Source organism: Homo sapiens, chromosome 2 (assembly GCF_000001405.40).
Source record: "Homo sapiens chromosome 2, GRCh38.p14 Primary Assembly".
NCBI classification, from domain to species: domain Eukaryota; kingdom Metazoa; phylum Chordata; class Mammalia; order Primates; family Hominidae; genus Homo; species Homo sapiens.
Genome location: NC_000002.12, coordinates 36,733,205 through 36,757,568, shown reverse-complemented (window position 1 = coordinate 36,757,568; position 24,364 = coordinate 36,733,205). Strand labels below are relative to the sequence as shown.

The window sequence follows — 24,364 nt, the reverse complement described above, 5'->3', positions numbered from 1 at the left end:
TTTTAGGCCCAGAGAGGGCCCCATGGCTGTGGGCCACACTTTATCTGCAGAAAGCGAGGAAGAGACATCTTCTCTATTTATTGATCTAAAACGTGATTTTTTTTTCTGTTTCTATTCAGAAGGAAAAGGAGCATGAGCTCAGTTCCCTGAAATGTGGATCAAAGGATAAAAGGGAAGTATTAGGGGGTCCCTCACTGACATTTCATATCCCTGGACTGTGTAAAGATCATGCGGGCCGTAAACGTACATCTCCTCTTTTGCTCCCCCTCTTAGCTCACCAAAGTGAATTAGTTAAGGAGCTCAGGGGCATATGAAAATTAGAAATAAAAACCTAGAGAAAGATCATGGTGGCACCTGAGCCTTCAGAAGAGGATTCGGACATCATGCAGTTAAACTTGCTGGCCATGAACCTCTGGATAATGGGAAGCATTCCTTGGCTGCCAGTCAGTTATCAATGCTTATGCTGCAGTGAGCTCCTAACTCATCCATTCGAGAGAGGCTTCCAAGCCATTGCAGAAGCACAAATGTTTATTATCATTGGCAAAAAGTATTTTCGGTTAACTGTCACTAGGTCGAATGAGGGGAGATGGAAGTCGAGATTTATAGGGAATAATATCAGCAGATTGATTTTCACTTAAAAAGCCCAAAACATCTCTACTGCCATAGAATTAATTTTTCTTTTAAACCTCTGTTGAGATTCTTGGATTGCAGACTGAGCACTTAAGGCTGAAATGCTCTTATTCAGCCAGGATCTACTTGGTGAACACCTATGCGGAGATTATATTTCTCTCTGTCTCAACATATTTGTATTCGAGACATTAGCATTTTTATATGGCTCCCGTTGTGAATTTTTTGTTACAAGGCAAAAACCCCACAGTACTGCGGTTGATACCCTTCCGCTATCTGACAAAGAAACCAGTCTAATTTGAACTGTGGGCGTGTAGAATTTGGCAGGCAAAAGGAAACATGGATTGCTCAAGTTGAGAAGAATAGTAAAAGGTCTGTTTGTTGTCCTGCTAACGACTCTAATCAGTGGAGGACGGTAGGGGCTTGAGGCATGGGGTGCCTAGCAGTGCTAGAAAACCACCCAGATTGGAAGACCTACTGTTTTATGAAACATTTCTCTCTTCCCTGTTCAGCTAGTTTTCTATAAGTGACTCCTTCTCAGGACAGTCCCAAGGCACCTAATTTTGTTGGGAGGCCAGGAAGTTGGCTACAATCTAGTTTAAAATCCCATGGAACCGCCTTAGAGAAAATGGGAGATTCAGGTTTAGAGTAGGGTACGTATAAGGTGAGTATAGAACACTGTTAGGCTGGGCGTGGTGGCTCATGCTTGTAATCCCAGCACTTTGGGAGGCCGAGGTGGGCGGATCACCTGAGGTCAGGAGCTCGAGACCAGCCTGACAAACACGGAGAAACCCCGTCTGCACTAAAAATACAAAAATTAGCCGGGCATGGTGGCACATGCCTGTAATCCCAGCTACTCGGGAGGCTGAGGCAGGAAAATCGCTTGAACCCAGGAGGCAGAGGTTGCGGTGAGCCGAGATCGTGTCATTACGCTCCAACCTGGGCAACAAGATTGAAACTCCGTCTCAAAAAAAAAAAAAAAAAAATACTGTGTTGTCCTCAAGCACTACCGTGAACATGTCAAAAGCTTGAAGGGCTCCCACTGGGCAATCTCAGAAAATATGAGCACCAAAAAGAAAAATAAAGATAATAGATGATAACATTATATTTTTAAAAACAATCTATGAATCCATAGTCCACTTAAAAATAATAGGTGCAGAGGGGGAAAGCAACTCTTCTTTATATAAGAACACTAGCTAACAAATGTGGAAGGAATGACAGAATTAGAAAAAATTATAATTTTGCAATTACTAATGTAATACTTGTTACAGTGAGGATCGGCAATGGATGTTAAAATCACTGGGTGAAATTTGTTGGGGAACAAGCTACTCGAGCATGTTAAAGCATTACCCTACAGATGCTTATTAATTACGGGGTATCTTTGCCATGGACAGATATGGTAAAATATCCAGTGAATCAAACTTAGCATCACCAACAATGGAACAGACTGCCATTATATGCCTCTTGATATGGCCATTGTGTATGACACAATGGATTTGCTGTGACAATACCTATCTATCCACTTAACAGAAATCTCAAGGAATAAGGTTCTAGACATGAGGCACATTTGGCATAACTAAAGGACTGGTTTAAAAACCCAAGCTATTAAATGTAATTAATGTAATTAAAAATCTGATTGGACTTACAGATAACTGCAGTGTAATTAAAACAAGCATGTGGAGCCTTTTAGTATTTTCAGATATGACTTTGTGGTGATTTATCATGTAATTCTAATTTATTGTGTCGTGATTCTAATTATCAGAAAAACGAATGCTTCAGATTTTTATGAAATGAGGTGGGCCATAAACAAAAACCAACAGCACAATGAAAAGAGCACATTTCATCTTGTGGTAGGTTTAGCAGCGTTTCTCCAGTGTGTGGTCATACCTAAGACGATAAAGGATTCTCTCCATCGTGGTAGGGATAACGATTGGACACCGTTGGAATAACTCCCTTTGTAACCAGACTGTCCAGCAACCTTCCGAACAAGTATTTTCCCTCCTGAATTATCAAGCACACCACTATGAAGAGAAAAAATAATTTTTCAGGAAAGAACAGAAATATTTTTTGACGTGATCAACAGGCTAGAAAACCAGTCGCCATCTTTATTTACACATAGGAAAGCAGCAAGGTTAAGCAAAGTTTACCTTGACATGAAGCCCAACCCACAAGAATGGTGCCTCCACCAGCAGACCCAGCATCTGAGCTCCCAGGGTCAATGTCCTTCTCTTTCTTCTTATAGGAGCTGATTGTTCTGTCAGGGATTTCTTTTTGCCACCATGCCTCAGATTTCTTTTCCTTGGTTTTCTCATTCCCACTAGCTCTTTTAAGTAAAGCCTCTTTCTTGACAGTTTCCAATTTGGTTTTGTGATGGCACAGAATGAATTTAGTTATTCCAAAGGGTGATATAAAATGATGAAAAGTAAACACTCCTTTTTTTTTGGGTCAGGGAGGAAAGCTGTGCAGCTAAGTTAAACTCATTAAAAAAGCATCCCCCAAAGATGGAAAATTGTTTCTTTAAATTTCTGGGATTTTGCCAGGTTTTAGATCCTGATGGGACGGTGACTGACATATGAATGTCTTTCCTTTGATGTTAGGCAGGGTCTCCATCTGGTTGCTAGATTGCACTTTTACGTTGTCATTTCTTGCCCCAGAGTCGAACATGCATGGCTCCTTTGGGTATCCTTAATTTCTGGCACCGGGAGATGTAGATTTCTCCCCATCAACACCCTTCCTTCCCTCCAGGAGTGAAAGTTGCCATTTCCTGCCCTCCCACCTTCCTGATGAGTCAACAACGTTCAACCCTCAACCTCCCAGTGGCATAGAAGGAAAGAAAGTGCTAATACTACTCAACATGTAAAGCACTTAATTGCTTTAAAACTGTTCTCAACGTGTGGTGTCCCACTGGGTTCTCCCAGCATACCTGAGTTGTGGAGTGGAAGGAATGCTGTTATTGCCATTCATTCCATAGAAACAGGCTGTGTGAGGTTGCAGGACTCACCTGGGATTTTCTAACTAGTAAATTGCAAGAGGGATTTAAACCCAGGTTGAACTCACCTTAAGTCCTCAGTTTGTCCCTCTTGCTCCCATCTACCTCTCAAGAGTTCAAAAGCACAGGCACCTCCCTAAGCCAACTCCTCCTCACTCGCTCTCTTCTCTCCGGGCTCCCTGTGATTGAGTTCCCTCACATCTCCCGATGGCAGGCAGGCTGGTTTCAGCCATTCCCACTCCCATGGCTCTGACGATGCTGCTGTTTCACCCCAGAAGACCTGATTCCCTCTGCCTGACCAGGCCTGTGCTGCTGACAAAGGGCAGTGAGTTCCCAATTTCTCCTTCCCCACAGAGATTCTGACATGACTTTGCTACCTCCTTCCCTCCTTAGAATCTTGTTCTCACAACTTAAACTCTGATTTTGTTCCGTCTTGTACTACTTCCTAAAAATTTCTGGAGTTTATTTTGTCTCTCAACAAAATGGAAATATTTCTTATAGAAAGGATAGCATTTTATGTTTCCACATGAGAAGGTGCCGCGGACACCTGCTTTTGAGAGCCAATTTTTTTTTCTTCAACTTTTATTTTAAGTTCAGGGGTACATGTGCCAGATGTGCAGGTTTGTTACATAAGTAAGCACGTGCCATGGTGTTTTTGCTGCACAGATCATCCCATCACCTGGGTATTCGGCCCAGCATCCATTAGTTATTCTTCCTGATGCTCTCCCTCCCCCACCCCCCAACTCTGACAGGCCCCAGTGTGTGTTGCTCCCCAACTCATGTTTCCGTGTGTTCTCATCAGCAGCTCCCACGTATAAGTGAGAACATGCGGTATTTGATTTTCTGTTCTTGTGTTAGTTTGCTGAGGATAATGGTTTCCAATTTAATCCATGTCCCTGCCAAGGACATGATCTCATTCCTTTTATGGCTGCATAGTATTCCATGGTGTATATGTACCATATTTTCTCTATCCAGTCTATCATCGATGGGCATTTAGGTTGATTCCATGTTTTTGCTATTGTGAATAGTGCTGCAATGAACATATGTATGCATGTATCTTTATAATAGAATGATTTGTATTCCTTTGGGTATGTACCCAGTAATGGGATTGCTGGGTCAAATGGTATTTCTGCTTCTATGTCTTTGAAGGATTGCCACACTGTTTTCCACAATGGTTGAACTAATTCACACTCTGTGAGAGCCAATTGTTATGCTTTCAGGATTGGGTGAGCTGGCAAAGAAGCAGGATGCACAGGAGGCTTGACCAATGTAGGAGACACTGGAGGAGGAGGGAGAGAGTCTGAAAAAAGCTGTGGTTCCACTTACGAGGCAGATGGGGGCTCAGAGCCATGGTAATTTGGAGAATTTATGTAAATACCACCTCATCATTTGTATCACTCAGATGTAGGCACTTCATAGATATTCTCTGGAAAAGCAAACCCAGTTCCACTTCCTTGCATTCCTCAGGTGCCCTGCATGGTGCTGAGCATGGCCTTGATGTTCACCTCCTCCCTGATTGCAGTGCCAGGGGACTGGGATAACTGAGGGTCAGTCCCTTGGCTCAGAGAGAAGGGATAGTTCACTGCTAGGGCCAGGTGTCGAATGGCTGCTGTTCTGAGGGTGGGCACTGGTCAGAGATCAGCGTGAAGAGTGTCCTGCATGGAGCTGGTCTTTTCATTGCACCTTCTCAGGGAAATCTCTCCTCTCCCCTGCACTTGGCCATGCTTTAAACATAGGAGTTAGTTTAGGATAAGCCTGAGCCAAAATATGATGCCTCAAATATGTTCATTATCCCTTTGGTTTGAAGAAACTAAGGGAATTTCTTGTACTAAGACCTCTGATCATGATATAGAATATGAACATTAAACCCTTTAGTACAAATTAATCTGAGTTTCTAAACCAAAGTATACTGTCTCCAGTCTCCCACTTCTGACTGTTGGGACTCTGGCAGGACAATGGTTATAGATCCCCAATATACTTTCTGCTCATGTTCTCTACATCTTAAATCCTGCCTTCTGAAAACAGATTTGCACTGTTTGTGAAAAACAAAACAGATAGCTTCCAAAATTCCTATCTGTTTCCCCTTAAGACTTTTATTTATCTTCCCTTTGAATAGTGGTACCTCCTTCCAAATAGATTTTCCACTATATCAGTCACTAGTCTGGGAAGTCACAGTGGCACTCAATTGCTCAAGCAGCAAATCTTGTTTTTTGCAAAACAAGCGAATCAAGCTCTTCTCTTCTGCCCTTCTCCCCTCATTTATATTTTTCCCACCAAGTTCCTACACTCTAACCCAAAAGCTGGAATTATAGAGCCTTGGTCCTGTCAATGCCCTTCTTATTTTCTCCACAGGGCGCCTCCTTCTACCATAAAGCATTTCCCAACTTTCACTACTGTAAAGTCTACACCTTGCTTGAGTCCTCACTTTGTACGCTAAGCAGTGCTGGGACTCCCCAGTTCTTATGTCAATATATCACCTGGGCTCCGGGCTGGAAGTAAGGGGGCATGAGTTTTAATCCTCAATGTGGATCTAACTAGGAATTTATTTATTTATTCTGAGATAGGGTCTCACTCTGTTACCCAGGCTGGAGTGCAGTGGCGAGATCTCAGCTCACTGCAACCTCCGCCTTCCAGGTTTAAGCGATTCTTGTGCCTCAGCCTCCTGAGTAGCTGGCATTATAGGCACCCACCACCACACCCAGCTGATTTTCATATTTTTAGTAGAGATGGGGTTTCACCAGGTTGGCCAGGCTGGTCTTGAACTCCTGACCTCAGGTGATCTGCCCGCCTTGGCCTCCCAAAGTGTTGGGATTACAAGCGTGAGCCACCACACCCAGCTAAATTTTTTTGTATTTAGTAGAGACGGGGTTTTGCCACGTTGGCCTGGCTGGTCTTGAACTCCTGACCTCGGGTGATCTTCCCGCCTTGGCCTCCCAAAGTGTTGGGATTACGGGCATGAGCCACCACGCGTAGCCCTAACTAGGAATTTAATTAGCTTTTTGATACCTCGGTTTCTTATATAACAAATGAGGATGCTAACAATAACCTCATGAGGGTGATGAGATGCTGCTAGAAGGAGAGAATCACAGTGCAAAAGATTACATGTTATTTTTTTTTCTTCTTTTTTTTTTTGAGACAGAGTCTTGTTCTGTCACCCAGGCTGGAGTGCAATAGTATGATCTTGGCTCACCGCAACCTCCGCCTCCCAGGTTCAAGCGATTCTCCTGCCTCAGCCTCCCGAGTAGCTGGGATTACATGTGTGCACCGCCATGCCCAGCTAATTTTTGTATTTTTAGTAGAGACGGGGTTTCACCATGTTGGCCAGGCTGGTCTCGAATTCCTGACCTCGTGATACGCCCATCTTGGCCTCCCAAAGTGCTGGGATTACAGGTGTGAGCCACCGCACCTAGTGATTACATGTTATTTTAATGTCATCTTTGGTGAGGTCAAATTTACTCTTGTGGCTCTATACTGCCTCGGAAGTGTGAAAGTGCAAGAGAGACCCAGCAAGTGCCAGAGGAAGCAAGAACGAATCATCTAGGATCAAAATTGAAAAAAATACAAGCAACCTTAAGACAGGCTCACCCTTTGCAGCAGATGTCACTTTCTACACAGACACTGGAGTGTGTACAAAGACACAGACTGGAGAGGGCTGATGGTGCTGTGGGCTGGAAGTATGTGTGGGAGGCATGTATGGGTGTGCAAACACGTGTGCGTAGATTTGTATAACTTTTCCCTTTTAGTATGAAATTGATTTCAGGGTGAAAGCAAAATATTTTTATTTCATAGTCTGAAGTTATGAAATAGCATTCAGTGATTTTTATTCCGTAGTCTGGAGTTATGGAACAGCTTTTCGTGTCGTTTTTCTTTAATGTTTTACTACTTATCCTTAATAGAGCTTTTGTAATCCCATTCCCTTTGAAAAACCAGTTCACTCCTCGTCCCTCTGCAGTAATGGGGAAAAGATTACTATAGCCAATGAAATCTACTAGTAATTCTTAAACTTTATTTTATGCATAGTTTTTGTCTTACTGCTCCCTCAAATTTCAGAGAGTCTACTAACTAGACACCTTGACATAGAATGAATTTTATATATTTTCTCTCCCTTGCAGAGGTACAACTGAACAATCAACCCACTTATGTGCAAAAAAGGAAAAGGAAAAAGATACCAGAAATCTGAATAATTCAGAAATTTTATCCAGCATCCAGTAGCCAAGTATCGACTCCCGAGTCACATCTCAAAGCTGTCCTGGGCAGCAGTTAGGAGTACAGGTGCTGCAGTCAGCTGGACTTGGGTTTGAGTCCCCACTATGATACTTTTTAATAGTATGGCTTTAGAAAAGTGATTCAACCTACCTTCACCTTTAAGATGTGCATAAGAGTAGTAGAAACTGCACAGAGGAATTATTGTCAGGATTAAATAAGATAAAGAAGGTAAAGTGCTTGGCACATACAGGCTAGTCTTAATGCCAAAGATATTAAGTAAGCATACATTTATCTATGTTTTGACCATAAACTTAAGCAAGAGTGGTATGAGGATTCTGTTACGGTATCTGCATTTAGGTAGTGACTTAATCCAAAGCATGCCATGCCTCCTGTCTTCCTTCCTGCATCCTAGACCAACAGCTGACCAAGTGGTATTACCTGTCACCCTTCTCCACTTTCCCCATCCCCATTTTTCTCCAACCCATCACCATAGCTGTGATATTTCTTCCTCCAAACTTTTGGGCCTTCCTTGGTAACATCTCCATAATTTCCTTGCTCAGCACATACAGGTAGAAAAAATGAGTTTATATCATCAAGAACTTTGGATTCCTTTTCATGAACATGAAAGAGTACAATTCTCTTCCTCTCCCCATCAAAGTGTAAAGAGAAGTCAGTTGTCCTTTTTTATGGAGTGCTATGATGAAAGATGCAGGACCATGCATGACTTCCAAGTCATCCCTCCACAGTAAGGTCGACGGAGAAAACACGGGATGCTCAGTTAAGTTTGTACGTTTTTCAGGGAGGGCGTCAAGATGATTGACTACACAGCTGGGAAGTGCTTCTCTCACAGAAAAACCAAATATCAAGTAAACCATCACACTTTGAACAGACGTTTTGAGAGAAAACACTGAAAGTCAATAGAGAGGCAATGCAGACACAGAGGTGAAAAAAGGAGGAAGCTAGCAACCTTGCACGAAGTTGCTGAGTGCCAGGACTAGCTCAGTCCTGAACAGGACCTGACGAAGATGTTAGTGAAGAAACTGTGGGGCAAAGAAGCTCAACAAGATTCAGAAGATAGTTGAAACCTAATCCAAGGAAGCCCATAAAATGATCCAAGACTTGAAAGACTACATAGCCATTTTAAGAAAGAACCAAACTGAACTTCTGGGATTGAAAAATTTACTACAGGAATTTCATAATACATTTGGAAGCATTAACAACAGAGTAGATCAAGCTGAGGAAAGAATCTCCAAGCTTGAAGACCAGTTCTTTGAATCAACGCAGTCAGACAAAAATAAAGAAAAAAGAATTTAAGAAATGAAGAAAACCTCTGAGAAATACAGACTTATGTAAAGTGACCAACCAAAGGAGGCTGTGACTCATTGGCCTTCCTGAGAGAGAAGGAGAGAGAGTAAGCAACTTAGAAAAGATATTTGAGGATATATAGTTCATGAAAATTCCCTCAGTCTCACTGGAGAGGTCAACATACAAATTCAAGAAATTCAGCAAATCTCTGTGAGTGAGATACTATGCAAGATGACCATTCTGAAGGTAGATAGTCATCTGATTCTCCAAGGTCAAAGTGAAAGAAAAACGTCTTAAAGGTAATCAAAGGGTCAGACCACCTACAAAGGGAACCCCATCAGGCTAACAGTGGACTTCTCAGCAGAAAGTTTACAAGCCAGAAGAGATTGGGAGCCTATTCTCAGCACCCTTAAAGAAAAGAAATCCCAACAAAAATTTCGTATTCTGCCAAGCTAAGCTTCATAAGCAAAGGAGAAATAAAACACTTTTCAGATAAGCAAATGCTAATACAACAGGGCCTTAAGGGAGTTCTAAACATGGAAATGAAAGAACGATACCTGCTACCACAAAAACACACTTAAGTTCATAGCCCAGAGACCCTATAAAGCAACTACACAACCAAGTCTACAAAACAACCAGCTGACAACATTATGATCAGGTCGAAACCTCATATATCAATATTAACCTTGAATGTAAATGGTCTAAATGCTCCAATTAAAAGGCACAGTGTGGCAAGTTGGATTAAGAAACAAGACCCAGCCATCTACTGTCTTCAAGAGACCATCTCACACGTAATAACACCCATAGGCTCAAAGTAAAGGGATGAAGAAAGATCTACAGAGGTCACTATTCTTATATCAGATTTTAAACCAACAACAGTAAACAGACAAAGAAGGGTATTACATAATGATAAAGAGTTCAATTCAACAAGAAAACTATCCTAAATATATACAGACCCAATATTGGAGGACCCAGATTCATAAAACAAGTACTTCTAGTCCCATGGAAAGGCTTAGACAGCCATGTGATAATAGTAGGGGACTTCAACACTCCACTGACAGTGTTGGATCCTTGAGACAGAAAACTGACAAAGAAATTCTGGACTTACACTCAACATTTGATCAGTTGGCTCTAATAGACATCTACAGAATACTCCACCAAACAACCACAGATACACATTCTTCTCATCTGCACATAGAACATACTCTATGATTGACCACATGTTTAGTTATAAAGCAAGTCTCAATAAATTAAAAAAATTTGAAATCACACCAATCATACTCTTGGAACACAGTGCAATAAAAATAAAAATCAATACCAAGAAGATCTCTCAAAGCCACACAATTATATGGAAATTAAACAACCTACTCCTGAATGACTTTTGGGTAAACAATGAAATTAAAGCAGAAATAAAAAACTATTGAAATTAATGAAAATAGAGACACAACATACCAAAATCTCTGGGTTGCAGTGAAAGCGTTTTGAGTGGAAATTTTATAGTACAAAATGCCTATATCAAGAAGTTCTAAATATCTCATATTAACAATCTAATATCACACCTTAGAGGAAATATAAAAATAAGAACACACTAACATAAAAGCCAGTGGGAGAAAAGAAATCACTAAAATTAGAGCAGAACTGAATGAAACTGAATTGTGAAAATCCATATAAAACATCAATGAAACCAAAAGTTTGTTTTTTGAAAGGATAAACAAGATTGATAGACCACTAGCTAGATTAACAAAGGAAAAAAGAAAGAAGACCCAAAAATGCACAATCTGAAATGACAAAGATGACATTGCAACCAATCCCACAGAAATACAAAAGTTCTTCAGAAACTATTTTGAAGACTTCTGTGCACACAAGCTAGAAAATCTACAGGAAATGCATAAAGTCCTGTAAACACACAACCTCCCAAGATTGAACTAGAAAGAAAATCCTAAACAGACCGCTAACAAGTTTGGAAATTGAATTAATAATAAAAAACCTACTAACCAAAAAAAAGCCCTGGACCAGATAGATTCACAGCCAAATTCTACCAGAAGTACCAAGAGCTGGTACCAATACTACTGAAACTATTCCAAAATATCAAGGAGGAAGGAATCCTCCCTAACTCATTTTAAGAAGCCAACATCATCCTGATACCAAAACCTAGTTGAGACATGTGAAAAAAATAAAACTACAGACCAATATCTCTGATGAACATAGATGCAAAAATCCTCAACAGAGTGCTAGCAAACCAAATCCAGCAGCACATCAAAAAGCTAATTCACCGCAATCAAGTAGGCTTTATTCCTGGGATGCAAGGTTGGTTCAACCTATGCAAATCAATAAAAATGATTTACCATATAAACAGAATTAAAAACAAAAACCATGTGATCATCTCAATAGACACAGAAAAAGCTTTTGATAAGATCCAATATCCTTTCATGATAAAAACTCTCAACTGACTAGATATTATAGGAACATAACCTCAAAATAATAAGAGCTATCTATGACAAATCCACAGCCAACATCGTACTGAATGGGCAAAAGCTGGAAGCATTCCCCTTGAGAACTGGAACAAGACAAGCATGTTCACTCTCACCACTCCTATTTCACATAGTACTAGAAGTCCTAGCCAAAGCAACCAGGCAAGAGAAATACATTAAAGGAATTTAAATAGGAAAGGAAGAAGTCAAACTCCCTCTCTTCACTGATATGACTCTATACCTAGAAAACCCTAAAGACTCCACCAAAAGGCTCCTTGAGCTGATAAATGATTTCAGTAAATTTTCCGAATACAAAACCGATATATAAAAATCAGTAGCATTTCTGTATATAATGTTCAAGCTGAGAGCCAAATCAGAACACAATCCCATTTACAGTAGCCACAAGAAGAAGAAAATGCTTTGGAATACATCTAACTGAGGAGGTGAAAGATCTCCACAAGGAGAATTGTAAAACACTCCTGGAAGAAGTCAGAGATGACATGAACAAATGGAAAAATATTCCATGCTCATGGAGTGGAAGAATCAATATTGTTAAAATGACCATACTGCCCAAAGCAATGTACAGATTCAACATTATTTTTATCAAACTGCCAATGAAATTTTTCACAGAATTAGAAAAAACTATTCTAAAATTCATATGGAATAATAAAAGAGCCTGAAGAGCCAAAAAAACTCTAAGCAAAAAGAAAAAAGCTGGAGGTATCACATTATCAGACTTAATACTACAAGGCTACAGCAATCAAAACAACATGGTGTCAGTACAAAAACCGGACATGTAGACGACGGAAAAGAATAGAAAACTCAGGAATAAAGCCATACACCTGCAACTATCTGATTGTCCACAAAGTTGACACAAATAAGCAATAGGGAAAGGATTCCCTATTCAATAAATAGTGCTGGGGATAACTGGCTATCCATATGCAAAAGAATGAAACTGGATCCCTCCCTATCAACATATACAAAAATTAACTCAAGATGGATTAAAGACTTACATGTAAGACTTCAAACTATAAAAATCCTAGAAGAAAACCTAGGAAATACCCTTCTCGACATTGGTCTTGGCAAAGAATTTATGTCTAAGTCCTCAAAAGCAATTGCAACAAAAACAAAAATTGATGAGCAGGATCTAATTAAACTAAAGAGCTCTGCACAGCAAAAGAACCTATCAGTGGAGTAAATAGAAAACCTATAGAAAGAGAGAAAATATTTGCAAACTATGCATCCAACAAAGGTCTAATATCCAGAATCTATAAGGGACTTAATCAAACAATCAAAAAACAACCACGTTAAAAAGTGGGCAAAGGACACAAACAGACATTTCTCAAAAGAAAACATACAAGCAGCCAACAAACATATGAAAAAATACTCATCATCACTAATCATCAGAGAAATGCAAGTCAAAACCACAATGAGATACCATCTTACACCAGTCAGAATGGCTTTTGTTAAAAAGCCAAAAAATAATAGATGTTGGTGGGCTGCAGAGAAAAGGGAATGCTTATACATTGTTGGTGGGAATGTAAATTAGTTCAGCCAATGTGGAGAGCAGTTTGGAGATTTCTCAAAGAACTAATGAACAACCATTTGACCAGCAATCCCATTGCTGACTATATATACCCATTGCTGGGTATATACCAAAAGGAAAATAAATCCTTCCACCAAAAAGACACATGCACCAGTATGTTCGTTGCAGCACTATTCACAATAGCAAAGACAATGGAACCAACGAAGGTGTCTATCAGTGATGGATTAGATAAAGAAAATGTGGTACATATACACCATGGAATACTATGCAGCCATAAAAAAGAGCAAATTTTGTCCTTTGCAGCAACATGCATGCAGCTGGAGGCCATTATCCTAAGTGAACTAATGCAGAGACAGAACACCAAATATTGCATGTTCTCACTTATAAGTGGGAGCTAAGTATGGAGTACTCATGGATGCAAAGATGGGAACAACAGATACTGGGGAATACAAGAAGGGGGAAGGAGGGAGGTGAAGCCTGAAAAGCTACCTATTTAATACTATGCTCACTTCCTGGGTGATGGGTTCATTTGTACTCCAAACCCCAGCATCATGTAATATGCCTTTGTAACAAACCTGCACATGTACTCCTGGAATCTAAAATAAGAGTTGAAAAAAAAAATTAAAAAAGAGCAATGTCTCAGTGACCTGTGGGATAATTTGAAGTAGTGTAACATAAAGTTTCAGAGGGAGAGGCTGGGGCCAGGGCAAACAAGAATATTTGGAGACAGTTGCTTAAAATCCCCAAATTTGATGAACTATTTAAGCTCTATGACTCTCAATCGGGATAACAAAGAAAACTCCACAAGAGCACATTATAACCACATCTTTGAGAACAAATGATAAAGAGAAAATCTTAAAAGTAACCAAAGGAAAATGACACATTATGTATAGAGGAGCAAAGATAAAAAATGAATACAGACTTGTCATCTGAAACTATGCAAGGAGACAATGAAGCATAATAAAGTGCTGAATGAAAGAAGAAAAAAACAACTGTTGGCTAGATTTCTATATCCAGTAAAAGCACTTTTTAAATGAAGATTAAATAAAGATTTTGAGCTAAAAAATATTTGTATATTTTTGCTTGCTAAATATGGCAACCTTGCATGGGGGCTCCCTGCCAACACCCTGATTTCTAGTTAGTTATTAAGTAGCTCAGAACCACTCACCTGTGTACGGCAGCGCCACACACACTGGAGTAGGATGCATACACGTCAGTGCCATAAACATGGTATTTGGGGTCTTGGCATCCTGCTGGACATTTCACAATGAACTCAGGATCGATGATCTTTCCGGCTTTGACATCGCAGTTGATCTGAGGCACAGCTGGGAATACAAAATGAGGTCAAAATTACACCTTGTGCTATTAGTTTATCTGTGGGGTGACACTGTTAGGTCTCAACTATTGACTTAATCTCTAAAAGCCAGAGCCTGGGCCGACTCTACATCCCCTCCCTATAATGAAAGCAAAGATGTAATTAAGACATTTCCCAGACCAAAAGAACCACAATGACCATTCATTGCCTTTAACCTGCTGAGAACAAAAGCAAAAGGCTGATTCCTGTGCTTATTGAAATAACCAATTAACAAAGCAGAGATCTCTGAGAAAAGACCACCCACCTCCAGTGGCCAGAAATGTTATCTTGAGTCAATGGCAGGAGAGTACTGGTCTTTCAGATGCTCTGTAGCTAACCCAGCCTTACAAAAGGAAGGAAAAGTATTCCAGGAAGGGCATACGGTGGGAGCATTGGAGTTAGGAATGACCTGGACAAGGTTGGCTTGTGGGTAGGGACTCCATTATGGGGCCTGGTGGGAGGATGGTAGATTGGTAGGGATGGACCAAATTAAGAAGGCTTGCATGCTTGTGTTCTATGTAGGATGTGGAAGGCAATGAAAGACTTCTGGACAGGGAAGACAGGTCAAAAACATGATATTTTGTCTTGGTCCTAGAGGATCCTCTAGGCTTAGATCTGAAGTCATAATGGGAGAGATCTTTTCTTATCTGCCTGAACGCTTGATGGAAAGCTGGGAACTCTCTGGCTGAGCATCCAGGGGAAGCTCATTCATTCTTCCCTCCCTCTGTTTTGGCTTTGCTATTGCTACTGCCAGCCTCACTTCATCCAGTAGGCAAGTTTGCTGAAGCTGAAAGGTTGCCTGGGGATGAGGTGGAGTAGATGCTCTATTGACTGTATCCCAGAAGGGGTAGGACTGCAATTTCCCTGCAAAGATTTTTCCTCAATAACTCCAGAAGGAAAAGGTCCAAGGTCCCCTAGAGGACACTTTACTGGTGCCTTTTGATCTGGGAATATATTCAGTTCTGGCCCCCATTCTTCAGAGGGAACTTTAAAACGTGAGCACAGTCCAAAGAGGCAGCAGGCTTGGGAATGGTCTGGAAATTACCAAATGAAAGGGATGGTTTGTAGAAATGGGTCATTTGGGCATGAGGAAGCAAGAATTGGAGGCAATGATAGTTATCTTCACAAGTAGGATTGTTGTGTGCTGTGATGCCAGAGGGTGAGCTAGAACTTAAAGAACAGACTTTCTATAGAGGCAAATTTTGCCAAGAAGAACTTTCTAGGAACTGAAATTGTCCGTGAAGGACTGAGCTGCCCCAGGAAGCAGTGAGTGGGGTGTTGGTAGAAGTATGCAAGTGGAGACTGAACAGTTACAGAGAGGATTTCTACATTGGGTGAGGAGTAGAATAAAACCTCTCCCAATGCTAAGAGTCTGTAATTCACAGACTCTTGGATCCAGGAGCTCTGCCAGGCCACCCACCCTCTAACTGGGTTCCTGAGATGGTCTCAGAGTTGCTAATGGCTTCCAGCTGTATCCAAAAAGCATATTCTTTTTTAACCCTTGTGTACCTGAATGAGGAGAATTGCATTTCATTCAGGCTGGAGAGAGAACTGAAGTTTTATGCTCTTTTCTTAAACACCCATCCCAGACAATCTTTGCTACTCAGGGCTGGGCCAACAGGGAACTTCTGCTGGGAACCGAGGGGTTGAGTTTGATCACAGGCTTAAGCAATTAGTGGTTTACATTAAGAAGTAGAGCGCTGTGCTTCAAACAGTTTTGTGGTTTCATTCTCCCCATCAAAGGTTGCCTCCTCGCCGGCTATTTTCTTTTTACCTTTCATTCTTTTAAACTCTGATACTCAAGGCTGCATTTACTATTATGAGTCTCAGAGTATTTTTTAAAGGCATATTTTGGGATGAAGATGCCAGTGTGGTCTCTCTTCAAATTAGTGAATTGTTTGATTCCTGGATGTAACTGTGTGTTCAACTCTCCTCTTTTCCCCAGATCACTTCCTCACTCCCAAATGCATCTCCTCCCTTAGAGGTAAAGAAAATGAAAGATTTCTTCTTTGTTCTTAATTTTTTGAAATAGGAAGTGACAAGCTGTGTGCATTAAGATTAAATTTTGATGTGACTCTGGCACTGTGAGATTTTGAATGTCCTGTCAGACCAACTAAATATTTTGGGGTTGTGTAAACGAGTCTCTATCTGGAAGCTTATTTCATGAGTATTAGACAATGATCAAACCTGTTGAAAGACTTCTGGGTGCACATATTACATGCAGTAAGATCTTCCATGAAATAATTGGTTTAAAAGACAAGGGAAAATGTCACATTTTACTTCCTGCTAATCAATTTTCCCTCCTTTCTTTAAGGGGGCACTTGTTTTTTGTTTGCTTGTTTATTTTGTCTTTTTTTTTCCCCTTACAAATGTCAGGGAAGTACCTTAAATAAGATCTGCTTTATCTGCACCTAACCAGATTAGCAAAATTGGTGGATTCACTCATTAATTTGTCCCACGGGGGAAAAAAATGAAATCAGGCACGTGTGTTCATGCACTTTGAAAAAACAGGGAGCCACGGTAAAGTGTGGCTAAAGGTAAAAAATTTGTTAAATTTGTACAGAAAATTAAGCTGGAGAGAGTGAACTAGTTAAATTTTGCAGAGTGATTGCCAAAATTATTAAAAAGTGTAATGTCTATGTTCAGCCAGGAAAAAGCAGGCATTTGCATCTTTCTGGCAGCTCTTCTTTAAGTATATGGAAACTATGGTTTGTTTCTCTACAATATTTTCCCAGTTATTTGTGAGGTAGTCTGTTTTCTTGTAACAGCCAAAGAATCTTCCACCGCTCCACTTAAGGCCCAGATGAAACGGATGTTGGCCTTTCCTCTGAAGGTCTTTGAACTATTCAGTGCTCGCAGCTTAGGTTTTCCTTTCTTCCTCTTTCTTTGGTTGTTAAGGTTTATTCGTATCTCCCTTCCCCCTTCTCTGAGTTTGATCCTAAAAGTGCAGAAAATCGGATTTCCTTAAGAAGATAAGCTAAAATTAAGGCAGCTCAAGAAGTATCAGTTGTAGGTCTAAAGGGAGCGGGAAGACATTTGGCAAATGCCAGAACAGTCAGAGGGGAATGCTGTGTCCCCACAGCTAACCTCAGGTGAAAAATTATTTGTAAGTTCTAAAAAGAACTTATTCTGGAACCTTTGAAGAAAGCAAGACAAAAGCCTCTTCCATTCCTTCCGGACTGGACAGTTGCTAGCGTCCGTGAGGGAAAGTCCACACCAAAGCCACAGAGAGCCGTGGGGAGCCCAGACCTCTTGAGTGGCACCTTTGCACAGAAACCTGTTGCTTGGCCACCTGCTCCGCTTCTCCCTTTGCGACCCCACCCACCCACCGTCTCATATGATTCCTTAAGATAATCTTGCCTTCTCATAGACGCTCTCACTTTCGTATCAGAAATCACATTAGAGCACCTCAGTATCTGCCAAGGGTTCCTTCCCAAAGGCCCTTGGAACTAGCCACAGGGAAAAGAGAACCACCTGCAAACCAGATCGAACTGTAGGATTACCTTTAGGTCACTGAGGTTCATGTGTCCGCTGTAGTGATCTCACAAGGGTTCCTGGGCAAAAGGTCTCATCTCAGAACAGACAACTGGTACTATTTGAGTCAATTTTTAGTACAAAATTGGAATCTGAGAGGAAGAACTGCAAATATTTCTTCTGTTGGTTGGGTCTCCTGCCTAGGCTAATAACAGTGATTATTAGATGATGTCACATACAGCAAGCCGATTATGTAGTAGGCCAAATCAAACTGCAGATTCCTTATTTTGCCACTCATCTTTTCAGTAATCCCAGGCAAGCCACATTGCTTCTGGAGAACAAGTTTCCTTATCAACAAGCAATTATCGTAAGCTTGCCTCATGCCTGTTAATAAGGAAGAATTATTATTTTTATTTTTTTAATGAAGAAGAATTATAACATAAAAAAAATCACTTATGTATGAAAACTTTTAATATTAAACTTAATTTTGTTGCACTGTGATATTCAACTAGAGTAAAATCCTGTTTTTAAGAGAATTATGCAAAAAGTCCTCAGTTTAATGAAATAAAAATATCATTAATTTGAAGATGAATGCATTGTTCTCCTTGATCCTGATATCTAGGTCACTTTAATTCTTCCTTTGAAGCACCCTCTTTTGCAAAGCATTCTTATCCATTTTTCTTAAACAATCTTTGATCACATTGAATCTTTGCTCAAAAACCACCACTAGGTTTTTGCTGCCATTAGGAAAAATTCCAAAATCCTTAAGGCCATTCCATAGTTTCTTCCATGGAACGTCTAGGCTTGCCAATACTTGCCAATAAAGTCTTTACTTTCTAAATGCATGTTGTCTCGCACACTTAGCTTGAATCATTTCTCACCTCTGAAACCCTTTTTCCTTTCATCTGTTTGAATGTTACTATCTTTTAGGTCCCAGTTCCAGTTAACATCTTCATTCATCTACTAGAATATAAAATTCATGAGGGCAGGGACTTTTGTCTGTTTTGTTCACTGCTGTTCAAGAGAATGTCTGCTGAATGAATAAATGAATGGATGGAGTGATTGGATGACAGAGGGTAACTGGCCTGTGGCAACACAGTTTTGGGGCAGCTGCAGAAGTTTGTGTCTCTAAAAATACATATTTTAGTTTACAAAGGACCCTAATATAGGTTCTTTCATTTGGTCCTTACAAAACCCTAAAAGGCATTAGTCTTCATTTTTCAGAGAGGCAAGTTAATTTGTTCAATTAACAATTGAACAATTGTTCAGATATCAAGTGGCAGAACTAAGACCTGAACTCAGGCCTATAAACCCAAAGCTTTGCCAGCTCCACCTGGTTGCCACTTCCATGACTGAAGGGAAGAAGTTAAACTGCAGCTTCTCTAGTCTAATCTTACAGGCTTTTCTGAACTTGAAGATTGCTGACAACCACTAGTGGGTGAATGCAGTATATATCTTACAAATAGGTTGTGTGTATGCATGTGTGTGTGTGTTTATGTGAATACATGCATGCATCTGTGCATTTACCCCAAATACCTGCAAAGTAACTCTTCTAGCGTAATTTTCCATTGTACTGTTTTCCCGTTATTTCTGAGAATTGCCAGGGTAGAGTCTACTCAACTGAAAATCTGTAACACAGACAGTCTCTGCCTTCTTTCTCACCCATATCAGAAGAAGGGCTAGAAAGTTAATCCTCTTCCTTTTTCATGGTCTGAGAAAGGGCCCACAAACCAATCTGTGTGGAGAACCCACTGGTGTTGGCGCCAGGTGTCTAAGAAGCAAGAAACACTGGGGATTACTTACAAGTTGCTACACATAAACCTACCCAAGAAGCTGTGTGCATGCTATACCAAATCTTACAACCATGGAGTCGTATTTCTCTTCATCAGTGTCCAATGCATTAAGTAACTAAGTCCCAGAACAATGACCTCTTCATGCCCAAGGCAGTAGGTTCAGGAATCATCTACTCTTTCAAGGTTGATTGCAAAAATCTTTCCATGCCTTACAAGGTATTAAGATTAACTCATTGGAGAGAACTATGTGAACTACATGTTGTACATTTCACCCCAAATTAAGTCTATTTCAACAGACTCCAAAGTAAATGGAAATATTTCAGAATGTAGCTCTACTGCCTGTGGAGAATATCGTGTTTATCTCACTGATTGTTGTCTTCCTCATGTAAATTTCCTGCTTAGAAAACTCTCAGGAGTCCCCGCCCTCTAGTGAATGACAAAGAAAAAAAGCTTCTCAGATTGGTGTTGCCTGGTGGGTCCTAATCCACCTTCCAGCTGCATTTCCGTGACTCCTCAGTGCTTAAACCCAACCTTGCCTTTCACTGCTTCCTGACCTCATCCTCCACTTGTTTTCCATGGTATGTGGGCTTAGTCCACCTAGAAAGCCCTTTCCCAACCTCTGCCTGTAAAAATTCACTTATTTTTCAGGTCTTATCTTGAATGTTCTTTCATAAGACCAATAGGAGTCCTATTGTAGACTCCTTGTTTGTTATTCTCCTATAGAATTTACCACATTTTGCTTTATTTTATAGTGGCTTTTGTTGTTGTTCCTTTGTCCATACCTAATGAGCACTAATTGGATCTTCATGGTACTTTTGGTCTTGCTGGGAAGATAGACTGTATAAAAAAAGCTCTTAGAGTAATACGTGGTAAATACAGACAGTCCCTGATTTACAATGGTTTGACTTCAGATTTTTCAACTTTATGAAAGGTTTTTCAGGGTATTAAATGCATTTGTGACTTACTATGGACTTATGAAAACACAACCCCATTGTAAGTCAAGGAGCATCAGTACTTGACGGAGAAAGTGCAGTGCATACAGGAGGCCTCTAACCTACTTCTGAGTGTGTGTTGGGGATAGGGATTGGGCCCAGCAAGGCTTTCCTTTACATACTTTTGTTTCATCTTATACAAGATTGATGCTTACTGAGGACACAGACTTTGCAGGATGGGCAGCCAGTAACACGTTGCATGGAATCATCAATGGCTCCCATCTGCATAATGTGATCTCACCTGACACCACTTTGGACTAAGGCCATTGCTTCTGGGGCTCTTCTGCAGCTTCATTATGTGTGAAAAGCCATTGATGAGATTTTACAACTTAAAAGCTTTTCTCCCTCTAGCACGGACACTTTGCCAGGCAGGAATTGTTCTAGAGTCTGGTGGACATAATTTATGTGAAAATATATGATGTGTTTATTACAGTATGGACTGAAAGTCTCATAAGTTAAAGAGTAGGCCTTTTTTGAATGAGTAACCTACACATAAATGAAATTAATCCTTAAAATGTATAAGGTATTATGACTACCTTAGGAAAAGTGTCTTATGAACACACCTAAGCCCTTCAATCTTTATTTGTAGCCTTAAACAATCAAGAAAAATGCAGCCACACTTTGGTAATCTGTTAGAAACTGCTTGAGTAGGTTTATGCTGACTAAACCTACCACTAAGGTGCCTCTGGCTAAGGTTAGATCTATGGCTCTAAGACTTATCAGGAAAATGAGAGCCTTGAAAATGTCACCTCTAAAAATAAAGTGATAAAACTCTCATTACTGCAGTAAGGTAAACTTTACCTTGGATTAAACAGTCCGTTAATTTATTAAGTCATTAACTTACGTTTCTTCCCATTGCATTTTTTCCCTCTTACTATTCTAAGAAGGTAGACAGGCTCATGTTTTCCCACCTCTGGTTCTCAAGGTTGCAGGAGAGAGGGCAGTGTGTCGCAAAGACAACACTCTCTCCAGGCTTTGAAAAGTAGACTCTCCAAATTCCCCTTGTTTCAGGGGATTGGGCTTGTTCAGCCCAAAGAGTGATGGAGACACAATGATCTTCTAAGACTGGGAAGGTGGGAGTGGCCAAATAGGTTCCAGTAAAGGAAATGTCCCTTGCCCTAGCAGCTGCTTTGAGAAGCACCCACCTCAGGGCAGCATCTGGTGTGATGCACCTTGGGGTGGAGATTTAGGTACAGGGCTTCCCCACCTCTGCCAACATCCCATCATCCAGGAAACAGTGGGGTTACCCACCTTCTAGAGATAACATGGACTTGGACACTGAGTAGCTGAGGGGACCACCCCGAATCTTCTAGACTGCACAAGCCCACTCTGCTGGAGCAGAGAGGGAGGAAATCTTTGTAAGTAAGGAATTTGAATTCCACCCCCTACCCCAGCAATTGGCAGTTTGGAGTCAGACTTAATTTGATTTAGAAAATAATGTGATAAGCCAAATATGGTGGGATAAAATTGTATCCAATACAACTGAGCACATAAAAGCAAAATATTAGCTTGGAATGAATGGGCCTATGGGTTTGTGGAGTAGAGCTGTGAGAATCCATCCAATTGCTTTTTTATATCTTTGTTTTTCTTCTTTGTAAGACCCCCATGCCAGATTATTTTCTTTTTTCTTTTTTTCTTTTTCTTTTTCTTTGAGACAGAGTCTCGCTCTGTTGCCCCGGCTGGAGAGCAGTGGTGCAGTCTTGGCTCACTGCAACCTCTGCCTCCCAGGTTCAAGCAATTCTGCCTCAGCCTCCCAAGTAGCTGGGATTACAGGTGCCTGCCACCACGCCCGGCAAATTTTTATATTTTTAGTAGAGACGGGGTTTCATCATGTTGGCCAGGCTGGTCTCGAACTCCTGACCTCAGGCGATCCACCTGCCTCGGCCTCCCAAAGTGCTGGGATTATAGGCGTGCCCAGCCTGCCAGATTATTTTCAACATGCTCTTAAGTATTACCTTCTTGGTCCAAAGGGCCCCCCCACCAGTGGTGCTAAGTAACATCCATGGGGGGCACTGGAGCCCACGGACAGACCAAAGAAATGCAAAGAAGGAAAAAGGGGTGAGAAGACAAAGAAGTGAAAAAGAAGGGAAAGTAGAGAGGAGAGAAAGAGATAACTACCAAAATCAGTGGGAACCCCATGAGTAGGCAGAATAGATGTACTGGAATGGCAGGCGTTTTCAAGCCAAGTCCAAGGAAGACAGTTATGCTCTTCTCCTTCTCCCATTTTTCCCATACGTCTTCTACTTTACTTTCTACTTGGTCAGCCTTTGATTATGCAACACCCTTATCTGCTACCAGGCAACAGACACCTCATTCTTTAGTCCCACCCAGCTTGAGAGGAGGCCTCTGGGGAAACATCAGGCACTAGATCCTCAAGAGTCTAGGAGAGTGCCCCCTGCCTAGGAGGGGTCAGGAAATTAATCACTGACCAACACTACCAAACTACCTTCTCCTTGTTATTTCACTTAAGACTTCTGGGTTGTGAAGATTGTGAGTCTTGAAAAAACACTGGTGAAAACTGAGAGCTTCTAAAAGAGAGGTTAGAGGGCACTAAAGGGAACCTACCTGAAATGATTTCACATTCATATTTGTAAGACGCCTTTGTCTTGGTCCTCTCTCTAGTCCACCGGTTATCACATTTTACAAGTCCTCAAATCACCTGGAGAGCTGGTTAAAGCACAGATTGCTGGGCCCACCCCTGTAGTTTTTGACTCAGGATGTCTGGGCTGGGTGAGACGAAAGGTCCCGGATGATGCTGATGCTGCCGGTCCAGGAGCCACACATTGAGAACCACTGACCTAGTCCAATCTCACATTAAAGCTAAAGTGATTTGTTTAAAGCCCTGCTTTTATCATTTCACTTTCTGTTTAAAACTCTTCAGTAGCATCCTGTAAGATATATTTTGAGGTATCGACGCTAACGGTTAGATGATCAAGCTTTTTTTATTTAGTGAAGAGGAGAGAGCCACTGCCCCCCACCACCCTGTCCTCTTAGGATGTTTTCTAAAAGACGTAAGACATAAGAGGCCAGACTTTTGATTTTACAATGCCAGGGCTCCGGCCTTCTGTAACGATCTGTAAGCCCTTACCTCCAGAACGGCAAGAGAAATTGTAATTGTCTGTCTTCCAACTTACTATATAAAGTTGTGTGAAATTCTGTCCAGACTTTGTACACACTTTCATACTATCTGTATATGCATGTAAATCTGTAATGCTTACTCACAAGTTGTGTTCTCTCTCTTCTCTCTTCATATCTTCAAATATTGCTACAAAGGAGTTGTTGTTAATGTTGGCAGGATTGTTTCATTTCCCTAACACAACCTTCCTTAACACTTTACTATTCTCTGAGGACCATGCTCCTTTTATAGGGTGGACCCCTGCCAGGCTCGCCTGATGCAATTAGATTCTCTCTCCCAGGAATTTGGGATCAGGACTGAGAGACATGGTCTGGAGAGAGAGAGAGGGGGGGAGAGAGAGAGACAGCAAGAGAGAGAAAGAGAGAGATGCACAGAGAGAAGAAGCAGGGGTGCCGGTTCCTGAGGCCTTTCCATCTGCAGTCCAACCGGAGGGAGCTGGAGGGAGTTACAGCTGTATTTCCTGCCTTGGGT

General features: G+C 41.0%; 1 protein-coding gene and 1 long non-coding RNA gene across 14 annotated transcripts in view, besides 2 other annotated features; one reads left to right on the top strand and one right to left on the bottom strand.

Annotated features, from left to right (window-relative positions):
• The window catches only part of LOC124905990 (uncharacterized), a 118,030-nt gene that overhangs the window by 49,870 nt on the left and 43,796 nt on the right, over positions 1-24,364 (top strand). The window lies entirely within an intron of this gene.
• VIT (vitrin) overlaps positions 1-24,364 on the bottom strand; it is a 118,088-nt gene that overhangs the window by 57,226 nt on the left and 36,498 nt on the right. For 12 of the 13 annotated variants that reach the window (NM_053276.4, NM_001177969.2, NM_001177970.2 and 9 more), the window contains exons 4-5: positions 14,313-14,469; positions 2,515-2,648 (exon numbers count right to left, since the gene is read on the bottom strand). In NM_053276.4, the coding sequence (NP_444506.2) occupies positions 2,515-2,648; positions 14,313-14,469 (291 nt within the window). Of the gene's footprint in view, positions 1-2,514; positions 2,649-14,312; positions 14,470-18,001; positions 18,326-24,364 lie in introns of those variants that run through there. The other variant, XM_017004327.2, reaches the window with a different exon arrangement.
• Positions 3,043-3,695: an enhancer, noted in NCBI's record as "OCT4-NANOG-H3K27ac hESC enhancer chr2:36981017-36981669 (GRCh37/hg19 assembly coordinates)". NCBI's record gives its function as "activates a minimal SCP1, AML or CMV promoter by ChIP-STARR-seq in naive H9 embryonic stem cells {active_cell/tissue: H9 hESC(naive)}" and the evidence as "EXISTENCE:reporter gene assay evidence [ECO:0000049][PMID:30033119]".
• Positions 19,763-20,458: an enhancer, noted in NCBI's record as "OCT4-NANOG hESC enhancer chr2:36964254-36964949 (GRCh37/hg19 assembly coordinates)". NCBI's record gives its function as "activates a minimal SCP1, AML or CMV promoter by ChIP-STARR-seq in naive H9 embryonic stem cells {active_cell/tissue: H9 hESC(naive)}" and the evidence as "EXISTENCE:reporter gene assay evidence [ECO:0000049][PMID:30033119]".